The sequence below is a fragment of the Homo sapiens genome, chromosome 15 (genome assembly GCF_000001405.40).
Source record: "Homo sapiens chromosome 15, GRCh38.p14 Primary Assembly".
NCBI lineage: Eukaryota > Metazoa > Chordata > Mammalia > Primates > Hominidae > Homo > Homo sapiens.
Window position 1 is genome coordinate 82512459 of NC_000015.10, and position 22596 is coordinate 82535054.

The window sequence follows — 22596 nt, forward strand, 5'->3', positions numbered from 1 at the left end:
AGACGAACCAAATTCAGTGGAATACGTGCACCCAAAACTGGACCAGACTTGTACTTAATGCAGCCTGCAAATCCCCAAGAGTCCACGACAGAATACAAGAACAGTAACACTGGTTTATCTCAACTCATCTTAGCTCCCTCACAAACTTGCCAATAATGACCTTTCAAGAACTGCACCGTTGGTCCTCATCTGGGCAATCCCGTGGCTTAGAAAAACTGAATAAAGTGCTTCTTCGAAAAATAAAACAATGCGGGGAGGGGGGAGTAGTAACAAAAAAAAAGGCACACTGGTTTTTACTGTACTGAAGCAATAAATTCTCCAACGAACTTCATTAATGAGTATCAGCAAAGAATGAACACCAAAATACCGCTCAATCCAACTTTCATCGTGAATTCTTGAATTCACAGTAGGATCATTAAATGTGACGGTATCACTCTGCTATAAAAACTATTTCCAAAACAAAACAAACCTATCTACCCCCTTTCTTGATTTAAAAAAAAAAAAAAGAAAAAAGAAGGAAAATTTGAGGGTTTTTGCTTTTTTCAACTTCACACACCGGTTTGCCTTTGCAAAAAAAAAAAAAAAAAAATGTTTAGTCTCAAAGTATAGCTGCAAGGTGGACCGGCTGCACGGGTCCCAGAGGGCCGCTCGCCTCCGACGGTCGCAGTTTCAGCCGGGCCGCGCCCGCGAGAAACAGCGGAGAGGCCCCAGCAGGCGGGCGCCGCCGGACAGGTTTACCGTCCGCGTCGGCCCCGGGGAACCGCTCCCTCGCGCCCGCAGCACTTGTTCGCGGCGCGGACTCCACACCGCGGCCGCCCGCCCCAGGGGAGGAGTGAGTCCGCCCCAGCGGCGCCAACCCGGGGACCCGGGGCAAGGGTTCGGGGCCATCCGCCGCCGGGCGCGCCCCCCATCCGGAAAGCGGCGACGGCCCCCAAGTTGGGCTGCGGAGTGGGAGGCGCGCCGAGCCCCAAGCAGACAATGCGGGAGAAGGGTGATGCGCAGGGAGGAGGGGTCCGCAAAGCTGAGGTCCCCGCGCCGCCCGGCTACCCATCCGTGCCGCCCGCCCCTGAAGCCCCGCGCAGCCCCCGACCCTCCTCTGGGGCCCGCCCCACCGAGCGGCCGCAGGGGACGGGCCGCGCTCCGCACCCCGACCCCTCCTCAAATCACAAAACTTCCCCCAACTCCGCCAACTAAGTTGCGCTCTCACCGTGCGGCTCCCGGGGCTCCCCCGCGGGCCGAGCCGAGACAGCTCCTCACCTTCGCCGCGGAGAAAGACAATAGGCTGCCTCTCCCCCGGCGGCGGCAGCAGCGGCTGCGGCTAAAGCGGCGGCAACCGAGGCGAGCAGTGGGCACGGCGGTCTCGGCCGAGCCGAGGGGCTTCACCGCTGCTGTTCCGGCTCCGCGACAGCTCTGCACGTAGCCCCAGCCACCCCGCGCACCGGCTACAAGCCGCCCGGGGGTGGCCGGGGCACGCAAGAGGGCAGTAACGTCTGCGAGTCCTCCCGTGAGTACACGCGGAGCAAGGGCTGCGAGCTGGGATTGCACGGCAGAGCTGCCCATCCCGCTCCACGAGACCAATAGTAAGGCACCTGGGCGGGGCGCTCAGGTTGCTAAGGGAGGCTGAGGTTGACCGCCGGGGCTGCTCTGTGGCAAAGTGATCACAGCAGGGTGGCTGGCAGAGACTGCTCTGGGAAATGCCCACTCACGGTCTCCTCTCCGCCCTGTTTCTAGAAACTGCCCTTTCTCTGTGTGCTCGTGGTTACCTGAGCTGTAGCATTTAACCACACATCGTGAAATGATTTACTCCTCTATTTCCCCCACTTCAACTCAGGAAGTGGGGTTTAGTCTTCTGTGTCCACAGCCTAGGACAGTCTAAGGTATTAGGTATTAAATATAGGTATTAAACAAGTGTTGGATGGATGCACGGCGCTATGGCGGAATCACAATTGTGACAGTGCATTCCGTGAACTTTTGGCTACTCGATCACCACAGTCGTTCCGTGTTCAAGCTGCAAAGGACCTCAGAAATCATCGGATTGCTTTGAGAAACAAAATGTGGTCCGTGTACCAACGGCGGCCGAGGAGAATATATTAGCTGGTACACGGAGAAACTTCTTTTTTCAAATAGTTAAGTGTTTTAGTGCTCATTAGGAGGGAAATGCCTATCACGTCAAATCATTGTTTCATTAATGTTACTTCTTAGGTCAAATAAAAAGTGGCAAAAAACAAGTGTATTTCAAGAAAAGTGTTAAGTGAAACTTGAGACACTTTATATGCAGTTCAAGAATGTAAAATAGTAGTTGACAGTGATTGAAGTAAGAACAGTTGGTTAGGTAGGAGGAGAAGATTATTGGCTGGGAAGGAGGAGGAGGGAACCCTCTGTGGTGCTGATTCTGTATTTTGACCTGGGTGATGGATAACAAAAGTATGTACATCAATAAAAAATACATCCAGTGCACTTTAGATTAGTGCACTTTACACATTTTATACATGTATTTTTAATGTCAATTTTTAAAAAATCTGGTATGGTATATACCCCCACAACCCCCCCCCCCCAAAAAAAATGCAAAGATGCAAATGACTGCCATTTGGGAAACACTGATCCAGGCAGGCTCACTAGCAGTGACCAAACACCTGAGAAAGGGTATTGTGAATACCTGATGTATGTGCCAGGAACTTCCATGGTTGAATAGCTCCAAATCTCAGAAATGCTCCTAACCTAGTGTTGAGCTCTGGTGCATAGATATATTTTCTTTTCTTTCTTTCTTTTTTTTTTTTTTTTTTTGAGGCAGAGTTTCACTCTTGTTGCCCAGGCTGGAGTGCAATGGCACGATATCAGCTCACTGCAACCTCCGCCTCCCAGGTTCAAGCGATTCTCCTGCCTCAGCTGCCCGAGTAGCTGGAATTACAGGCACATGCCACCAATTCCAGCTAATTTTTTGTATTTTTAGTAGAGACAGGGTTTCACCATGTTGGCCAGGCTGGTCTCAAACTCCTGACTTCAGGTGATCCACCCACCTCGGCCTCCCAAAGTGCTGGGATTACAGGCTTACAGGTGTGAGCCTCAGCATCCAACCCAGAATAGCTTAAAAAAAAAAAAAAGCCAGGCATGCCCAGTTCTTCATGTGAAATTATTTCTGTATCACCTCATCATGCTGCTCACCCTCTTCCACTGTTCTCTAATTTGTCCTTGTTGATATTTAAAAGCTGGCACAAGGCCGGGCGCAGTGGCTCACACCTGTAATCCCAGCACTTTGGGAGGCTGAGGAGGGTAGATCACTAGAGCCCAGGAGTTCGAGACCAGCCTGGGCTACAGGTGAAACCCCATCTGTACTAAAAGATACAAAAATTAGCCAAACGTGGTAGCCCAAATCCCAGCTACTTGGGAGACCGATGTAGAAGGATCGCTTGAGCCCAGGAGGAGAGGTTGCATGAGCCAAATCAGCAGGGCAGCTGCAGAGTGGGGTGCAAGGTCCTCAACCCAGAGGTTCCCTAGGCCCCACTTGCCCCAGCTCATGAGAGCCTGGTTCTGAGCTCTGCCAGGACCGGGGCTCAGCACTGCCCATGAAAACAGGCGTGGCAGGGAAGAAAATCATAACCAAATATTTGTAGTCATTCCAGAACCTCCCTTCTGGAAAGGGAGGTTCCCAGGTTTGTGGGCTCTTTGCCTCCTGGACATTATTGTGTAGTGAAGGGAGAAAGGTTGAGATGCAGAGTTGGAGAAACTAAGAGAGGCCGAACTGGTCCATTTGAGGAAAGATGACTGATCCCAGAAGGGGAGGAGGGGACACCCTGGGGAAGCAGGGGGCTTCCCAGGTGGTCCAAGAAGGGGAGGGCGGGATATAGAAAGTCAGAGCATGGTTTTGAGTTTTGGAGACAACAAGAGAAAAGAGGGAGGGATTTGGACAACTATGGAGAGGACTGGGCTGTGGAGAGAAATGTTTAGAGATTTGGAAGATGGTGTGTCATGCGATGTATTGTGAAAACCCCTTCTTCATATCCCTAAAAGACCACCGCTGATGGTGATTCATGGTACAATTGATGATTGTATCATGATATAATTCAGTGCTTTTGCAGAGGGATTGGTGCCTTTTTAAAATAATAATGATGCTTTGGCTTGGCTCCATCTGAATTAGTAGAGACAGACATCTTGAGCAGGTTTTATCAGAGTTCCATTAGCTAAATATTGGGTTTCCTATTTTGTGGCTTGCTTTAAACCACTTTGTAGGCCCTTCCGCACTGAAAGCCACTACAGAAATCACCTCTTTGGTCTGCAGCTCCACGTCCCCAAGCTCTGGGCTTTCCTGAATGAGTGGCCTCATTCAGAAGATAATACAGCATCCCTCATCCGAAAATCCAAAATCTGAAATGCTTCAAAATCCAAAACTGTTTGAGTGCCGACATGATGTTCGAAGGCCAGATTCAAAGGAAATGCTCATTGGAGCATTTTGGATTTCAGATTTTCGAATTCCAAAATCTGAAAAAAATCCAAAATCTGAAATACTTCTGTAATTTAACCTGTAATAGACATTTGGTCCTGACCTTCCAGCTGAGGCAGCAAGCAGTCAACAGAGGCTCACCATGCATCCCTCCTGCTCCTCACCCTCCCACGGGCTTGTGCCTCACCCCCCAGCCTCCCTTGCACCTGCTGGGGAGGGGACAGGATGCTCCTGCTCTGCCTTCTTGGATCTCGGGCTACTGTGATAATTGCAGGATTCCAGCCAGGGAAAATGCTACAGGTAGAAGTACTTGGTACTCTCCATAGAGAAGTTTCCAGCAATGGCACATCTGCCCCAGGAAGTGTGCTGCCACACCCAGCTAATTTTAAAAACTTTCTGTAGAGGTGTGAATTCACTATGCTGCCAAGGCTGGTCTTGAATTCCTGACTTCAAGTAATCCTCCCACCTTTGCTTGCCAAAGTGCTGGGATTACGGCATGAACTAGAGCTCCCAGCCGAGAGTTTAGTTTTGTTTGCTAGTGGTGTTCTTGGTATCTTTTCATATTTGAGGCTTTGGTGCTAGTGCTGAAGTATTACACTCACCATCCGAGGTTTGCAGGACTTTTGTTTCAGTATTGAACAGATGGAACTGTTTAGTTCTTCATCTTTGCAGGTATACCAAATGTGCCTACCAGGAGTCTGCTTTATAGCCATTGAAAAGCAAGAAGTAATATAGTAAAATTTTGCCTGGCTAGAGGCTTTGGAAGACAAGTATTTTGGCTTAATTCTATTAACGTGGAAGGATGAAGGTGAAAAAAATTCAAAACTTTAATATCCTGTTTATTGCAATTTGAAAATATAGCCAATGATTCCACTTTTCTTCTCCAGTAAGTTTGGACATTCTGATCTACTTGGTGTTTTATTACAGAACTGCTAGTGTGCCTGAGTCTTACATTGTGAAGATCCTTCTCTAAAACTTCACATGTAAGAGAATATAAATGATATTGGATAAGATCAGGCTGGATGAGAACTGATACCTGTAAATATGCGATTTAGACGAAATCTCTGATTGTTTTCTTATTTAACTCATAAAAATAAAACACATTGGCTGGAAGGTGGGAGCAGGAAGGAGATTTATGTCTTTTAATTGCACGTCATTGTTTCATATAGAGAAAACATATAGTATCCCTGGTTTTGGACCTACAGAAGGAAACACATTTTTCTACCTGCTGTATGCCAGAGGTTCTTGAACACCTGGAGGGATTACTGCAGCACAGATTGCTGAGCCCTACTCCAGAGTTTCTGATTCATCAGGTCCAGGGTGGGGCCGGAGGATGTGTATTTATAAGAAGTTCCCAGGTGCTGCTGGAGCTGCTAGTCCAGAGACTACATTTTTGAGAACTGCTCTCATATACTAACTGTAAGTTGCAGAGCTCTAGAAAAAAAGCTTAGTTTGGTGTGGGATAAGAAGCACACAGGTTATGGAGAAAATCATGAAAGATTCAACCCTTGATCCCAGCCTAGTGTGGATTTCAGGTAACAAGCAATACACAGTGACATAACAAATTCTTGGTTTTCATGACTGCAAGTGATAGCCAAGTATCAAGTGAGAAATTCAGCTTCATTTGCAAGGCTTAGAGAGGCCAGGTGATTCTAGAAAAATGGGCCTTGTATTTCTCTTAAACCAGTAAAGAGCTTTAAGTGGTTATTAAATTGAAAGCTTTGTGTTCTTACTTATTTTGTATTTTATTTTATTTCTTTTGAGATGGAGTCTTGCTCTGTCGCCCAGGCTGGAGTGCAGTGGCGTGAGCTTGGCTCACTGCAACCTCCATCTCCTGGGTTCCAGTGATTCTCCTGCCTCAGCCTCCCAAATAGCTGGGATTACAGGCACCCGCAACCACGCCTGGCTAGTTTTTGTATTTTTAGTAGAGACAGGGTTTCTTCATGTTGGCCAGGCTGGTCTCGAACTCCTGACCTCAGGCAATCCACCCACCTCGGCCTCCCAAAGTGATGGCATTACAGGCGTGAGCCACCGCACCCGGCCCAAAAGCTTTGTGTTTTTAAAGATATTAGACATGTTTCTTGTTTTTAAAAGAAATCTTAACAATAATGTAGGAGAATAAGACAAACATTTTTCCAAAAAAGAGAAATTGTTGTGATTATTTTGTCTTATTGGAATGTTGGATACTATAGTCGGCTTCATTAATCATCAAGCATGCTATGGATTTTCCATTTTTATAGGATCTATATCTCAGTTAAGGTAATACTGGTAATTCTTGTACTCCATTTGAAGATGAAAAATATAGGCCAAAATCACAGACTTTGCACAGAAGCTGCATAATGAAGACAGCTCTGGAGGAACACATAGATACACACACACAGACACACATATATATAAAGTATATACACATATATTTTTTAAAGTTTATTTTTTACAGTTTTAAAAGTTTTAAAGCAAAACCCAGCCCTTCCCCTCTCCCAGAGTGGGCGGCCCCTCCCCTTTCTCTGAGTGGGCGGGGACAGCGGTTGCATGGGCAGCTTTCCTTATGATGCCACAGGTCCCTCTGGACATGCTGCTGCCTGGCCACGCCTCCTTTCCCTTTCATCTTTCTCACTGACCAATGGGCTTGGAGCATTAAGGCCACGCCCCTATTCTGCGTTCCATTGGTGCCCTGGTTACGCCACCTGTGGCTCAGTTGCACAGCTGCCTGGTAGGTGACTGGAGGCATTGAGCAGTGTGCTCACTGGTATTTCGCTGATGTGGCCCCAACCCCGCCTCCCTCCCCACCCCGCGATGTCAGAAAAAACACAACAGGGGAAATTGGCCGCAGCCAAGAAAAAGGTAAAACACACCAGGTCATGGCCCCCAACCCAGCCACAGATCCCCTCCGATGACAAGACCGGTGCCAGAGTCCATACCACTCCTGAGGCATACCAGATGGGGCCCCCCAACCCCAGCCCCTCTGGGCTCCCCCAACCAAAGCCTAGTCAGTCAGCCCCACCCCTTCAGCAAGCAGCCCAGTCCCTGCCCTTGCCAATCACCCCAGGGTGACTTTGGGCAGGTGACTCCTGGGGCTCCCTGCTCCATAATCAGCCCTCACCTCCTGCCACCCCAAGCCCAACCTCCCTGGGCTCTTTGGGCTTGCGTCTCCCAGGACCTGGGTCCCCCAGCCCCAGGCCCTGCCCTCACCAGTCATCCCTGGGTGGCTTTGGGCTGGTGACTCCCGGGGCTCCCTACTGCAGACTCTGCCCTCCCCTCCTGCTGCCCCAAGCTCGACCTCCCTAGGCTTCTTGGGCTGGCGTCTCTGAGGACCTGGGTCGAAACCGTGTGTTTCCCTCCCCCATCGTGGAGCAGCGACTCGGACATCGCGCTGATGTGGTCCCCTCCCCTGGGAGGAGTGGAATGCAATGATGTCACAGTGCCCCTAGGAACTGTCATTACTGCTGCAAGACCGGCCTTTGATCTTACAACCCAGTCCCCTAAGTTTTCTCACCCCATTTCTGGTTCCTCTGGTTGCAGCACAAATTTCCAGCTGGAAGGGGAGTGGAGACTATGGGACCTAGGAGCAAGAGGTTTCAGGCTGCCTTACTCCCTCAACATAGACATTGACAGTGGGAAAAATCCTACACTTCCCCTGTGAGCTCAAAATGTTCACAGTATCTCTGGGTGGCAATGGGAGAATGGGTTTGGTTTGGTTTTTTCCCAGGCTTCTACTTTCCAGAGAGACTTTAACATTTTTTTCTGAGTTCTCCACGGTTCTGGGACCAGACTGCCCTTCAGTCAGTGGCCTCTGAAGTGAGATTTGCTCATCTTCTGTGGAATAGATCTTGGGAAACTGAACTTGACAGCTTGAATCTTCCTCATATCGTCTCAACCTGGGGTACTTTGAGTGCCACAGGATAAATGTGGGACATCTTTCTGAAGCATCATTTTCCCTTGATTCTCTTGAGAAAATGCATTAATGTACTTAGGGATGACAGACACATAGGTTTCCAAGCGTACACCAGACTTCGCTCTGAAATGAGGCTTGGGTTGTCCTCTTTCTGATAAATTCCCAGATTTAATAGAAAAGCTGCCTTCTGCCATGAGGACACATTGATATGAAAGTGTGAGAGGTACTGGTACGCTTCTTCACGCTAGCAGACCTGTGAGGATGTATGACTCTAAACCACACGGCCTACAGTTCCTGCCTGCTTAATGTTTACTTTTCTACCTCTGCCCCTGGTTTTGGTCCCTGGAAGCTGCTGATTCATGGCAAAACCCCAGAGCTTGGAGTCAGAGGACTGAGTTTAAGTTCCAGTATTGCCTTTTTTGATCTTTCTTTTTTTTTTTTCTATCCATGATATCAATCCCTCTCAGTCACTAAGTGATTGTGACAACACCTTGTACAGTTGTTGGTGGCATTACATCAGATGGTATATAAGGGTATTTTGTCAAAACTGTAAAGGAGGATGTGGCTGTAGGGGCTGATCATTCTCATGAGTGTTACCGCTCTTCTTTCCCACAGTTAAAAGCATATTGGCAGAGGAAGAGCCCTGGCATTCCAGCAGGAGCTAACAGGAAAAAGAAAATCAATGGCAGTAGCCCTGACACAGCCACTTCTGGTGGTTACCACTCACCTGGGGATGTGAGTCTCGGCGGGCCAGGGTCCTGGCGACAGGGGGCCCAAGGGGCAGTAGAGGGTAATTGTTAAGATTGTAGATGGACTGTTGGGTACTGGTTAAGAATTCTGGATTTGAATCCTGCCTCTCCATCTGCTAAGAATTGATTAGGGATTGATTAGCATATGATTTAGGGCAAGTTGCTTGAGGTCTTTGGGCCTCTCTTTTCACATCTGTATAATAGAGGTGGTATTTTTTGACTTCCATTTGTGAAGTTTAAATGAGATTCGTTATTGTTGCTTTTATGTGAATCCTTAGTACATGGCCTGCTGCAAACACCCAGGACACCGAGGAAATGGTCGTTGCTGTTTGATTTTCCTCATCCCCAGTCTCAAGGGGAAGCCAGGCCAATGAGAAGAGCCACTTGCCATCAGGCTGTCCCTTTAGGAGTCACTGAAAGGGCCCCAGGGTGGGATGGTGGGGAGATAAGAACCACGAGAGAAGTTGGCACAAAGGAGTTATGGGAAAAAGGGTCCAAGATAGGCAGAAAAGAAGCTTTTGCCAGTTGATGGGGGAAGAAAGAAGTCAGAGGGCTTAGACAGTGAGGGGGGACAGAACATCTCCATGTGCACTCTCATCTCTTGCAGTCAGCAACAGGTATCTACGGGGAAGGCCGTGCATCCTCTACTACCCTGGAGGATCTGGAGGTAAGAGGCCCTGGGCCGAGGTGCAGTGACCCTGCAGGCCAGCCCTCCAACCTCCTCCCACAGCAGGGGCTTGTTGCCCCTCTGCCAGCTGAGGCAGCCCACACACCCCCACCAGCCCTAATGATTATTCTCTCTACCCCTCCCCACAATCTTCCTCCAACTCCTTCTCTCTGCATGCACCTCAGAGCCAGTACCAAGAACTAGCAGTGGCCCTGGATTCAAGCTCCGCAATAATCAGTCAACTCACTGAAAACATCAATTCACTGGTAAGAGTCCAGTGGGGTCCCCTGATTACAGCTGGTCAATCCTGGACTCCAGTTTCCTCTTGGGGCCCTGAAGAAAGGGGCTAGGGGCCCCTGATGCCAAGGGCAAATGGGGAGCTGGGCACCCAGGTCTCACCTGGAGGGACCCCAGAGCACAGAACATGCAGCATGGGTCTTCTGCACTGCCCTCTTTGCTGACTCTCTCTTCTCCAGACACCCCTGCTCTAGTCCTTGCCACACATGCCCTGGGGTTGTCACCTCTCTGGGAAGCACTAGCCTGACTGGTTGTCAGGGGTCCATATTTCTGCCCTGCCTCAGTCCCTAATTTGCTTTTTGAGTCTGGACAAGCCATCTCTCCTCTTTATGCTCGTGTTTCTGGAGGAGGTAGAGAGTATCAAAGGTCTTGGTTAGCTCTGAAAGTCAGAGATTTAAAGGCCCCTAGAATGGAAACCTCAGGGCCAAGGGCTCCTGTCTGTCCTTTCCTGTTTTATATCTCTGCTATGAAGAACTGTACCTGGCCTGTACATGCTCAGTAAATGTTTGTTGAATGAATGCACGTTTCTAAATCACAAACTGGCAGAAGGGGGGTGGGCCCTTCTCAAACTCTGTCTCTAGAGGTTCACCAGCCCCTCCCTCCAGGGCCCTTTTCCCCCTTTGCTTTGGGCAGGTTCGCACATCTAAGGAGGAGAAGAAGCATGAGATACATCTGGTACAGAAGCTTGGGAGGAGCTTGTTCAAACTCAAAAACCAGACGGGTAAGATGGGGCTGCCATGACCTGGCAGCTGGACTGGCATTAGAGGGCTGTGGGGGTGACTTAGAATGCCCCAGGGAGGTGGGTGGATGGAAGGGCTTTGAGGCAGAGGGAAAGAGGTCTGTGCCAGGGGAGGACAAGTCTTGTCATCTCCATGAGCCTCAGTGTCCCCATCAGTAAAGAGGGAGGAGTGCCCATTGTCAGCCACCCACAGTGCTCTCTATCTGAAAGTGACTTGGAAGACTGGCTACCATCCGGGTGTGAGGAGTCATTAGCAGTGAGGCCAAGTTTGGGAAGCCTGAGAGGAGGAGCTGTGCACCGAAGGGAGGATTTTTTTTTTTTTTTTGAGAATCCAGAGGCCCTTATTGTCTGCTTCCTTTCTCAGCTGAACCCCTGGCCCCAGAGCCCCCAGCAGGGCCATCTAAGGTAGAGCAGCTACAAGATGAGACCAACCACCTAAGGAAGGAGCTAGAGAGTGTGGGAAGACAGCTCCAGGCTGAGGTGGAAAACAATCAGATGTTGAGTCTCCTGAACAGGAGACAGGAGGAGAGGCTACGTGAACAGGAGGAGAGGCTACGTGAACAGGAGGAGAGGCTACGTGAACAGGAGGAGAGGCTACATGAACAGGAGGAGAGGCTACGTGAACAGGAGGAGAGGCTGTGTGAACAGGAGGAGAGGCTACGTGAACATGAGGAGAGGCTGTGTGAACAGGAGGAGAGGCTATGTGAACAGGAGGAGAGGCTACGTGAACAGGAGGAGAGGCTGTGTGAACAGGAGGAGAGGCTGTGTGAACAGGAGGAGAGGCTACGTGAACAGGAGGAGAGGCTGTGTGAACAGGAGGAGAGGCTACGTGAACAGGAGGAGAGGCTGTGTGAACAGGAGGAGAGGCTACGTGAACAGGAGGAGAGGCTGTGTGAACAGGAGAAGCTGCCAGGGCAGGAGAGGCTGCTGGAAGAGGTGGAGAAGCTGTTAGAACAGGAGAGGCGGCAGGAGGAGCAGGAGAGGCTGCTGGAGAGGGAGAGGCTGCTGGAAGAGGTGGAGAAGCTGTTAGAACAGGAGAGGCGGCAGGAGGAGCAGGAGAGGCTGCTGGAGAGGGAGAGGCTGCTGGAAGAGGTGGAGAAGCTGTTAGAACAGGAGAGGCGGCAGGAGGAGCAGGAGAGGCTGCTGGAGAGGGAGAGGCTGCTGGACGAGGTGGAGGAGCTCCTGGACGAGGTGGAGGAGCTCCTGGAGCAGGAGAGGCTTCGGTAACAGGATGAGAGGCTGTGGCAGCAGGAGACTCTGCGGGAGCTGGAGAGGCTGCGGGAGCTGGAGAGGCTGCTGGAGCTGGAGAGGATGCTGGAGCTGGGGTGGGAAGCCCTGTACGAGCAGCGGGCCGAGCCACGCAGCGGCTTCGAGGAGCTGGTGCGTTGCCCCACCTGGGGAGGCTGCCCTCTTCCCTAGCCCTCAAGGCCTTTGTTTCCCCACCTGTAAAATGGGGCATTGTAGCCTTCACATGAAATGGTACTTCTAAAGGCATCTGTGAGCCAGAGCCCCGCTCTGATGGCTGTGGGAGAGAGGGGATATTTTTCTAACCTGCCTCCACCCTTCCCGGTGCCATGGGAGGCGACACTAAGTTCTGGGGTCTCCAGTTTTAGTGGGTGGCCACTGATTGCTTCTCTCTGTCCAGAACAACGAGAACAAGAGCACACTGCAGTTGGAGCAGCAAGTAAAGGAGCTGGAGAAGTCGGGTGAGCTGAAAGAGACTGTAACCTCCGACCCATCCAAGAAGATGTGGGAGGCGGGCACCAGCCTCTGGGGAGGGGAGGTGCCAGGCCACAGGCAGCTGCAGCCTGGGGACAGGTGACCCCAGCACCCTCCGGGGCAGTCCTATGACTGTTTCTTGCTTCCTGCCCTCTGACTTTTAGAGGTGGGTAGCCCTGGGGTCCTCCCAGGTCTGGACATCATCATCCCAGCTAGAGGCATGGAGCCCCCCAATCACAGAGGAAGAGACAGTGGTATAAGAGGCTCCTTATGTCGGGTGTGGTGGCTCACGCCTGCAATCCCAGCACTTTGGGAGGCTGAGGCAGGACAATCACTTGAGGTCAGGAGTTTGAGACCAACATGGCCAACATGGTGAAAGCTCATCTCTACTAAAATTAAAAAAAATAATAATAATTAGCCGGGCCTGGTGGTGCATGCCTGTAATCCCAGCTACTCAGGAGGCTGAGACACGAGAATCACTTGCGCCCGGGAGGTGAAGGTTGCAGTGAGCTGAGATTGCACCACTGCACTGCAGCCTGGGACACAGAGTGACACTCTCTCAAAACAAAACAAAACAGAAAAACAAAAAAGACTCCTTAGATTCAAACTGGATTCCGGCCTCGGTTCCACTGGTCATAATTCAACTACTTTGCATCTCTAAGTCTCTGTTTCTTTAACTTCAAAAGGAAGTTAGCCTTTTCCTTGCAGAGGTGCTGAGGATTAAATGAGATAATACGTGGAAACATTAGGCATGTAGCACACTTAGCAGATGGTGGTTGGCTCCGCCTGCTTTTCCACCAGTCTGTGGCCTACAGTTTACATGCTGGGAAAAAGGACGTGAGATTTGATGCTAGGGAAGGAGGCATGGGGTTCTAAGCAAGGGAGACAGTCTCTTAGGCCTGGAGCAAGGGGCCAGGGGCCTGGGCAGGCCACAGAGCCCCACAGTGCCCTCGCTACCCTATTAATGGGCCAGGAATCTGGAAGCCAGCCACCACATGTCCTCATGCCCAGGGTCTTCCGGCAGGTGGAGCTGAAGAGCCAAGAGGCTCCGAGTCTGCAGCAGCAGCCAGACCAGTAGCTGGAGCCCCAGTCCCACAAGGAGCTTGGATGTGCGGACAAGCAGGGTGGTGAGTAGAGCCCTCAGGCGGGGTGGGCAGGCAGGAGCAGGGGAGGCTCGCACTGTGCCCAGATTCCCACCCCCCTCCCTCTCTCTGAAGATCTTAGTGAGCTGAGCCTCACTGATAGCATGGAGGCTGCACCGGGAGAGGACAGGGAGGGTTCTCCCCCATGACAACCCCACTGCACAGCAGATCCAGCAGCTGCTTCCTCTAATGCAGGACTCCCCAGGAGCACCCAGGCTTGGGTGGAGAAGCTGTTGGTACAGGAGAGGCGGCAGGAGGAGCAGGAGAGGCTGCATGCCATTCTTTTCGGGCTGCCGAGAACAGGGAGCTAAACATCACCATCATCTAAGAGCGGGTCAAGGAATTAAAAAAAAACAACAAAACGTTTAAGGGGTTAATATCCTACACAATTCATTTACTTCATTTGAATGTTAGAGCCACTTGTGTTTATTTGTGTTTCTAATTTATAGTTTAAATTTATTTGTGTTTCTAATTTATAGTTTAAATTTATTTGTTTCTAATTTATAGTTTAAATTTATTTGTAAAAAGTTAAATGAGAGTGGGTCTTTCTCTCATGTTCACTCTGGCATCCTTTAGCATTTTTTAAATTTGATAATTATAGGACGTTAGCATGCATATCGAGTTTGCCCTTATGTGGTGGGAGTTCAAACACACAAAGACCCACTGTATGCACACAACTGTTCTTGCTGGTTTGGGATAGGCTGCCATGCTTTTTAAATGTTAGTACAGCATGTATATTCATTACGGAATTCAGATAAAATTTCCTTATGTTCTGCTGTTATGTTTGATCGAATCCTAATCACAGTGAGCTCTTCATTAGCTCAATATGTGGTTTGCCCTCAAGTGCGCGGTCTATTACTTTGTAATATGCCACTGTGAGTACTGACATTTACAGTTGTTTAAAGGTGGAGCACTGGAAACAGCCTTTTCCCCTTTTTCTGTGTATTGGGGATGGGAGTAATAACATTTTGGGGAGCTTTTTAAATCTCCCAGAAGAGGAAAGTGGCCTGCTCTGGCAGGTGTGTGCAGGATAGAATATGTTTCATTTGTTCTGGTGCCAAGAATGAGCGCTGTACTATGGTAGTTCCCTTAGGATTTGCATGTGCTCTGGGCTCATGAAGACATTGCATCATGAGCTGTGGCAGTTGTACTTTTTTTTGATGACCTAAAAGGGGATTATTTCTGAGGAATGAAAGGCTCCCATCATGACTGTGGATGTGGAAAACCTTTTCTAGCTGAGAGCATTTATATCTACAATACATTTTAAAGTCAGAGTTCATGTTCCCTGTTTTAATCACATGACTACATGTCCCAGTACACAAAAGGGCACTGGTTGGCATTCTCCTTAATGTATTCAGTAAAGATCAGAAGAAATCCTTTAAGAGTTTAAATGTCCCTGAAACAGGCATATACAGGCTCTAGTCAAGAATGAATTCGAGTGAAGGAAAGCTGTGTTACACCTGGCATTCCTCTGTGTTCATGGAGCTTATTTGAGGCTAGAAGATGGATTTTACCATCTAGACCTCTCTGGCTAATAGCTAGTCTTCAACCATCTGACAGAGGAATTCTTTTTCTTGAATGGAAAAGACTTTAAAAATAATAACAAACATTATTATAAACAAATATATGTGAGAGTACTTAGTTGAAACAAAAAGGAATTTTAGTAGACAGTATTATACTACATTTGAAAATCAAGGAGCAGTTTATGCAACTTAAAATGTTTACAAACTGCAGCGCAATCTACTGTTTGTGAATGTCAAAGTGTCATGAGGAAAGTGTCTATACAATCACGGAGTTATATTTCCTCACAAAGTTCTTTACGAAGAGTGAAATATGTTTTTATACCTTTTGGTTTCAGTTAGAGGCATATTTTGTGTAATATTTATGTTAATGTGCATGATCAATGAATTATTTCAGTCATATGTTGCCTATATCATAACTGGAGGATGCTTGGGGAACAATCAACAGCTAAAACTTCATGAAGTTCTAATGTCTGTGTTCCAAAATACATCATATCATTAGGATGTAGGGAGAGATGTATCTGCACTCCCTGGGGTGGGCATTTCTAGTTACTAGACCATCTCCACTTTTAGCATTGGGCATCCTCATGATACTTTTATAAATATGACATTAATAGGAGATCAATAATACGATTTTACAGATTGAATAAGAGAATTGCCTGCATTCACTTAAAGATTGCAAATATTGAGCCCTTGTGACTTCAACTGACTCTTCCAAATTGTATGAATTTATCAATGTATTAGAGAAACTCAGTTTCAGAATGATAAAGAAAAACTGTTAGACCAAGCAATGTGGCTAATTAACAGTGGTAGGATTTCCAGCCCAAGGGTTTAAAATGGACTTAAGGTCCTGTTCTTGCCTTTTATTTTCTGAACTTGCTGCTTTTGCATTCTTTGAGTTCGGTTTAAAGACAGTTCCTTTAAGTCCATTTTAAACCCTCAGGCTAGAAGTCATACCACTGTTAATTAGCCACATTATTTGATCTAACAGTTTTTCTTTATCATTCTGAAACTGGGTTTACCGAATACATTGATAAATTATTTCAAAGGTATTTTTATAGTTCAAATCACTTCACTTTTACCCTGACACGTATAAATGACTAGGAATGACCTTCGGATAGCGTTTAGCATCTGTAACCAATCTGACAATAATGTGTTCATCAGGTACCTATGGATTAAATCACATACGGGCATATTTAAGCTGAACGTCAGTCTGAAAAATAAATGTACTATATTAACTGAAATACCACTCTTCATGTAGGTATTTTGTCATATGTTTAAGAAAAAGCTAAAAAGAATGGAAATCATGTGACAATAACTTAAGTCTTCCTTCAAAGTGCATGCAGTCTTTTGCAGTACCTCATTCAGCCAAGTATTTGTTCTCTTCCTCATTCAGTATAAGGCAGCTTTCAATTTGCTTAGAAGGCAACATTAGAAGGTTAGAGTTCATCAGAAACAGAATTTTAAAATATGAGTTCAACTGAATAAATGTGAATTTCTGTAGGAAGTAAAGAATCAAAATACCTATCTAAAGATGGCAATATATAATAATTATTTTTAAAGTATTTGATTAAACCAGATAGGTTTTCTCGAAATGAAAAAAATCAGTTCTAAAACCAAAGATGATTTTTTGAAAATGTGAAAATGTAAATCAGCCCTATCCATAATATAATTTCTCTAAAACTGTATCTGTCATTTTAAAATAATATAACTATTAAAAAATGTAACTGCTATCTTATTGTTTTGAAATAAGTTAAAACATTTTAAATATGAATACTGCAGTTTAAAAGAAAGAAACCAGGGGAAGGAAAAGTAGAGAAAGAAATGCCAATTCCAGTCCAAAGCTTTATTTGCCAAGTTTTCTTAGAATGACTTTTACCTATTTATGAATTCTTACAAACAGAATGTATAATGGAAATACTGACTTTTGCCTAAAGTGGCATTGTTGACTGCTGTGATGTTACTGTAATGTAATAAATTATTAAATTGTTGCAAAGTGCTGTTTTTGCCTTAAAATTTCGTGTGTCTTGAAAACTACAGTATTAAATACTATAGCATGCAAATAATGGGCATGCTTGGCATGAGATAATCTGTTTTTATTGTTACAAAATTGTAACTATGTAAGTGTGTTTATTAAAAGAACAAACAAAGTTATGGGATGAAAGAGTTACGGGATAAAAAATGTGGAAAAGTGTGTCAAAAAAAGTAGAAAAAATTGTATGAAAAGTTATTTAAAAAGTTATGGAAAAGAAGTTATGGGATTAAAAAAAGTCACGGGATATAAATAAAAATAAATAAAAGCAGGCCCCTTCCAGCATAAGCCTGGAGAAGTGGGTCTGGACTCTCCGCCCCCACCATGTCCCTACCACCCCTTCCCAGTCACCTCTTTACCTTTAGGGTAGCAAGACCCCTGTCTAATGGGGGGAGACAGACCCTTTGCCACCTTGACCAGGGCTGAGTCCTTAAATTTCTGGACGATGATGCTTGTTATTTAAGAGCCAGAGGCTGGTGGAGTTGGTTTGTTTGGAGTAGGCCTGATGGCCTCTCTACTCTTGCCAAAGCAACTTTTCCCTCAGGGGAGCTCCCATCTTCTTATTCAGAGAGGCAGCTGAGGCAGGACAGTGGGGCTAACAGTAGACCAGGCAAGGGCATGGGCTGCTGGGGTGACCCCCCCTTCCCCAGTGTATATATTGTATCTGCGTAACATTTTGTATATTCTGGGGAGTGGGGCTGCCCCTGTATCGTACCTAGTGGAGGTTGGAGCTGGCATATAGGGAGGAGGATCTAATAATTATTTGCATCTGGGAAACGTATTTATTGCTAGCATAGGACATAGGAAGGAGGCGGGGATGGGGTCGTGGCTCCCTTGGTGATGCGACTCCTGTTTATTTTGCTTTTCATTTTGGAATAAATGGATTTAGCCATACTGCTCAGCCTGGTGTGTTCCCGTTTCCTTCACTGGGTCCTGGAGTTTGTCCCACTGAATGAGGAGCCCCAGAGTGTCTGAGCATGTCCAGCTGGGCTGTTGGGGACCTTCCAGGCCTGTTACCTGTATGCTGCCTGGTGACACCTGGTGGATTTCATGGGGACTGCCATAGCACCTATGGAGCACAGTACGGCCCTGACAGCCAACAGGCTCAGAAGCCTGATCTAGCAGTGGCCGGGAAGTCAGATACCAGCACCCAAGGGCACTGACTTCCATCCACCCCAGGCATCTTCCCTTCCGTCCCCTTGCCTCCTTCTCCTGTCTGCACTGGGTGGCCTGTTCTGTCTGTCCCTCCAGAATGCCGGCTGCCCCTCAGTCTCCCTCCAGGCTGAGATCATGACCCTGACCCCTAGTGGCCGGAGCTGGCTTCACAGGATAAAAGCCAGCTAAGCTCCAGGGACTTTCCAGGAAAAGTGTCCCTTGGAAAGGATGTGGTCTTTTCACTTGCTCCCAACAGCACCTAAACATGGCTTGGCCTTTCCCCTCCCCTGAGCTCCACAGAGAACACAGCCAGCAGAGGACACATTCTCCGTCATCCGGAAATGGGTTTGATTCTCAGCCGAGGGACAGCAGGACTGGTAGAGACTGTCAGGCCACATGGCTGCCTGCACAGCACCCCCATGCTTGGTGGAGGGTGGGAGGGATGGCGGGGGCTGGCTGTCCACAGGCTGGGCATGACAGGGAGTCTCACTGGAGGTGGCACACTTTGGAGGGGCGATGTCAGGGGACAGCTTTCTCTTGCTGGACCACAAGACTCCAAAAGGACAGCACAGGGACTTATTCTTAGTGCTAGAGGCGAGGCGGTCGGCCATGTGTAACTGCATATATATATATAGCTATTTATAGAACAGGGCAGGGGCATACCACAGAGGGGGCACAAGTTTTCAGCAACGGTCACACCTGGATGTGTCAGCTCACCACTACAACAGACTAAGTCACAGATGAAGAGGGCTGGCTTTGGGGCTGGAGAGCCACTGTCAAGTCATAGTACACCTGCTCAGGCAGGCTTGGAAAGGGAAGTCTCCAAGTAGAGGAGGGATCTGTTTAGAGGTCAAAGTGGGGCCTGGGGCTCTCAGGACGGGATGGACTTGCCTGACCCGATCAGCTGGCAAGTGGAGAGAAAGCAGAGAGAAAACAGGAGAGAGAAAAGCAAGCGGATTGCTGGTGAGGCAAGTGCAGAGCATGGGAGTGACACAGCAGCTGTGGGAGGGCTGGGGACGGGAGGGCACAGGTGCGGGTGTGTAGTAAGGTTCCTGGAAAAGGGGCTGGAAGGGAAAGGGGAGGAGGATGGAGGGGGAAGCCGGAGCTTCACAGGTAGTGCCTGGGGGCTGCAGCGGCCCTCCCCACCCCACACACGCCTCTCCCATGGCATCCAGGCAGTGCACCCACAGTTCAGACCAATGCTCAGCCCCGTCAGGCTTCCCTTTTCTCTGGTCACCCTGTCTTCCAACCCACTGGCCCAGGGCCACCCCTCGCCTTGGGGAGCCCCAAGCAACAGCCACCAGGCCTGATAGGGAAGGAACACTGCTTGAACCAGGATGATGAAGCTAAAAGGGATGGATGGTTGGAGTGAGCACTGGAGGCCCCTTTGGGCCATCAGAAAGCCCAGAACCCTCTGAGAGGACCCTGGGGGAGGCAGGGAGGGCAGGCAGCCAGATGCCACTGGCCATAGACTTATAAGTCTAAGAGGGGAGCCTCAGCTTGTTGGGGGACTGCAGGTCACATAGGTGAGGCTGGGCCCTTCCTGCAGGGAAAAGCAGAAGAGGGAGAGTCTGTGGCAGGAGAGGCGGGCAGGCTCACTGGACAGAGCTCAGCTGGGCCAGCAGGCACTGTGGTCCCCTTGGTTGAATAGCATAGGTGACCTCTAGGAGCAACAGGCCAAGGTGCATGAGCCAACTGGCTGGCAGTAGTGCTTCAGCGGGGGCCAGGGACCCTGCCTTCGGTCACACACTAGCAGCTGTGATGGTATCTGGGAGGGAGAGATGGGGTCTGTGTGTCCCTGCCTGGCCTGTGAAGTGTGTTGTGGGATGACCGTGTGTATAGGACTCTCAGGCTTTTATCCTAGATCACCACTGGATTGCTGACAGATAGAGGAAGTGGGACCCTGACTATCACCCCTAATCTGGAGTGGATTTGGCTCTCGGCACTCCCAGGCTGGGAGCTGGATACCTGCCCTGCAGCATGACTCAGACTGCACGACAGGTACGGCGTGCCCAGGATGATGTTCCCAGGCCTCTGGCTGCCTCAGAATCCAGCCCAACACACACCCCCCTCCAAGCTCCCAGCCCCCACACCATAAACCACAAGCTCTCTGCCCTCTCTGATGGCTCCAGAGAGCACCCACATCTGCCAGCTTGGGCATGGAGCCCGTTCCAAGACTCCCCAGGCTCAGTCATGGAGGCTGGGGGACTTTGGGACCGTGGGGGCCGGCCCTGGTACCTGCGTCCAGCCAGGATGCTCTGCACCTGCAGCCAAGAGTCATCCACGGGCCCCCATGGGCATGCTGATGGTGATCATGTTGATGTCGCTGATGCTGCTGAGCACCTCTGTCAGCATATGGTGCATGCACAGCATCTCATCGCCCCGCTGTACCTGCTCTGCAGACTCCTCCATCAGCGTGTTCTGGTCCCCATGCGAGTACAGGTTGGATAGCAGCTCCAAGAAGATGAATTCCTTGGTCTGAGAGTGGGCAAAGAGGCAAGGAGGGTGCAACCTGATGCCTGTGCTGCCCTGGCTGCCCTGCCGGGCCCTGCTAGGACTGTGCGCTGGGCTTGGAGCCCCAAGTACGGCTTTTCAGGCGCAGCTTCTACACCACTTAAGACTCGAAGATCTGCCTCCCCACCGCCTTTTCTCACTCAGATGGGGACACTGAGGTCCAGAGGAAAAGTCACCTGTCCAAGGTTACAGATCTGGAAGGGGACCCAGGACCTATCATGCCACCAGGACACCTGTCTACTTGGTTTTTAAAAATTTTTTGGAGATAGGATCTCACTCTGTCGCCAGGCTGGAGTACAGTGGGTGAGATCACTGCTTATTGCAGCCTCAACCTCCTGGGCTCAAAGTGATCCTCCAACATCAGCCTGTTGAGTAGCTAGGACTACAGGCATGTGCCACCACCAAGTCCAGCATTTTTAAAATTTTTATGTACAGACCAGGTCTCACTATGTTGCCCAGGCTGGTCTCAAACTCCTGTGCTCAAGCGATCCTCCTGCCTTGGCCTCCCAAAGTGCTGGGATTACAGGGATGGGCCACTGTGCCCAGTCCCATGTTATATTTCTATGGGACAGCTCTGGTCTTGACCATGCCTCCCTCCCTGGACCTGGTCCCATAGGGCTGGTCGGCATCTCTCCCAGGCCAGCATGGCCACCTCCATCCCCAGTGCCACAGTCGCCCCCTGCCCCCATGGGGCAGTGCATGAACATTGTTGATCATGAGGTGCATGATGGTCCTGGGCAGGAGACCAACCATGAGGTCCCACACTGTCTTGTTGACAATGGCTGTATAGGAGTCTACCAGGTTCTGGGTGGTCTCCTTTAAGATCTATTTGCTTAGAATAGTGTTTACTAGAGGTGAGGAAGGGGGAGGAGGTAGCCAAAGGTTGGCTAACAGATTAACAGATATAAGAGTACATGGCTGAATGTGGTGGCTCACACACTAGTGTAATCCTAGCTCTCTGGGAGGCTGAGCGGGGAGGATCACTTGAGGCCAGGAGTGCACGGCCAGCCTGGGTAACACAGGAGGTATTATGTCTACAAAAAATTTAAAAATTAGCTAGGCATGGTGGTCCATACCTGTGGTCCCGGCTACTAAAACCCAAATTGAAAGACAAAATAAATCAACCATGACTTTTCACATTTTGTGAATGTGACCAAAATGTGACCAAGGACTGACTGAATTACATAGTATTACATCAGTTACATTTCCTGATTTTGATCATTGTATTGTGGTTATATAAAATAATGTTCTTGTTCTGGAAGTAACACTGAAATATTTGGGAGTAAATGGGCACATCTCCAACTTAACTTCAAGTGGAGCAGAAAAAAAGTTGTGTGTGTCCATGGAATACTATGCAGCCATAAAAAAGGATGAGTTCATGTCCTTTGTATGGACATGGATGAAGCTAGAAACCATCATTCTGAGCAAACTGTCACAAGGACAGAAAACCAAACACCGCATGTTCTCACTCATAGGTGGGAACTGAACAATGAGAACACTTGGGACACAGGATGGGGAACATCGCACACCGGGGCCTGTCATGGGGTTGCAGGAGGGATAGCATTAGGAGATAGACCTAATATAAATGATAAGTTAACAGGTGGAGCACACCAACATGGCACATGTATACATATGTAACAAACCTGCACGTTGTGCACATGTACCCTAGAACTTAAAGTATAACAATAATTAAAAAAAAATAAATCGTTAAAATAAAGAATAAATGTAATAG

The 22596-nt window shown here is 48.7% G+C and overlaps 3 pseudogenes across 4 annotated transcripts in view; 1 reads left to right on the forward strand and 2 right to left on the reverse strand.

Annotated features, from left to right (window-relative positions):
* GOLGA2P10 (GOLGA2 pseudogene 10) overlaps positions 1-1541 on the reverse strand; it is a 42523-nt pseudogene extending 40982 nt beyond the window's left edge. For 2 of the 3 annotated variants that reach the window (NR_033936.3, NR_026811.3), the window contains exon 1: positions 1208-1541. The product of NR_033936.3 is annotated as a GOLGA2 pseudogene 10, transcript variant 2 (transcript). The remainder of the gene's footprint in view (positions 1-1207) is intronic. The other variant, NR_103496.2, reaches the window with a different exon arrangement.
* Positions 1542-7131: 5590 nt separating this feature from the next.
* GOLGA6L17P (golgin A6 family like 17, pseudogene) lies at positions 7132-14026 on the forward strand (annotated as a pseudogene). Its single transcript, NR_111962.1, has 9 exons — positions 7132-7279; positions 8946-9065; positions 9687-9746; positions 9932-10012; positions 10677-10764; positions 11147-12162; positions 12428-12488; positions 13526-13628; positions 13839-14026. The product of NR_111962.1 is annotated as a golgin A6 family like 17, pseudogene (transcript).
* Positions 18675-19894, reverse strand: DNM1P38 (dynamin 1 pseudogene 38; annotated as a pseudogene).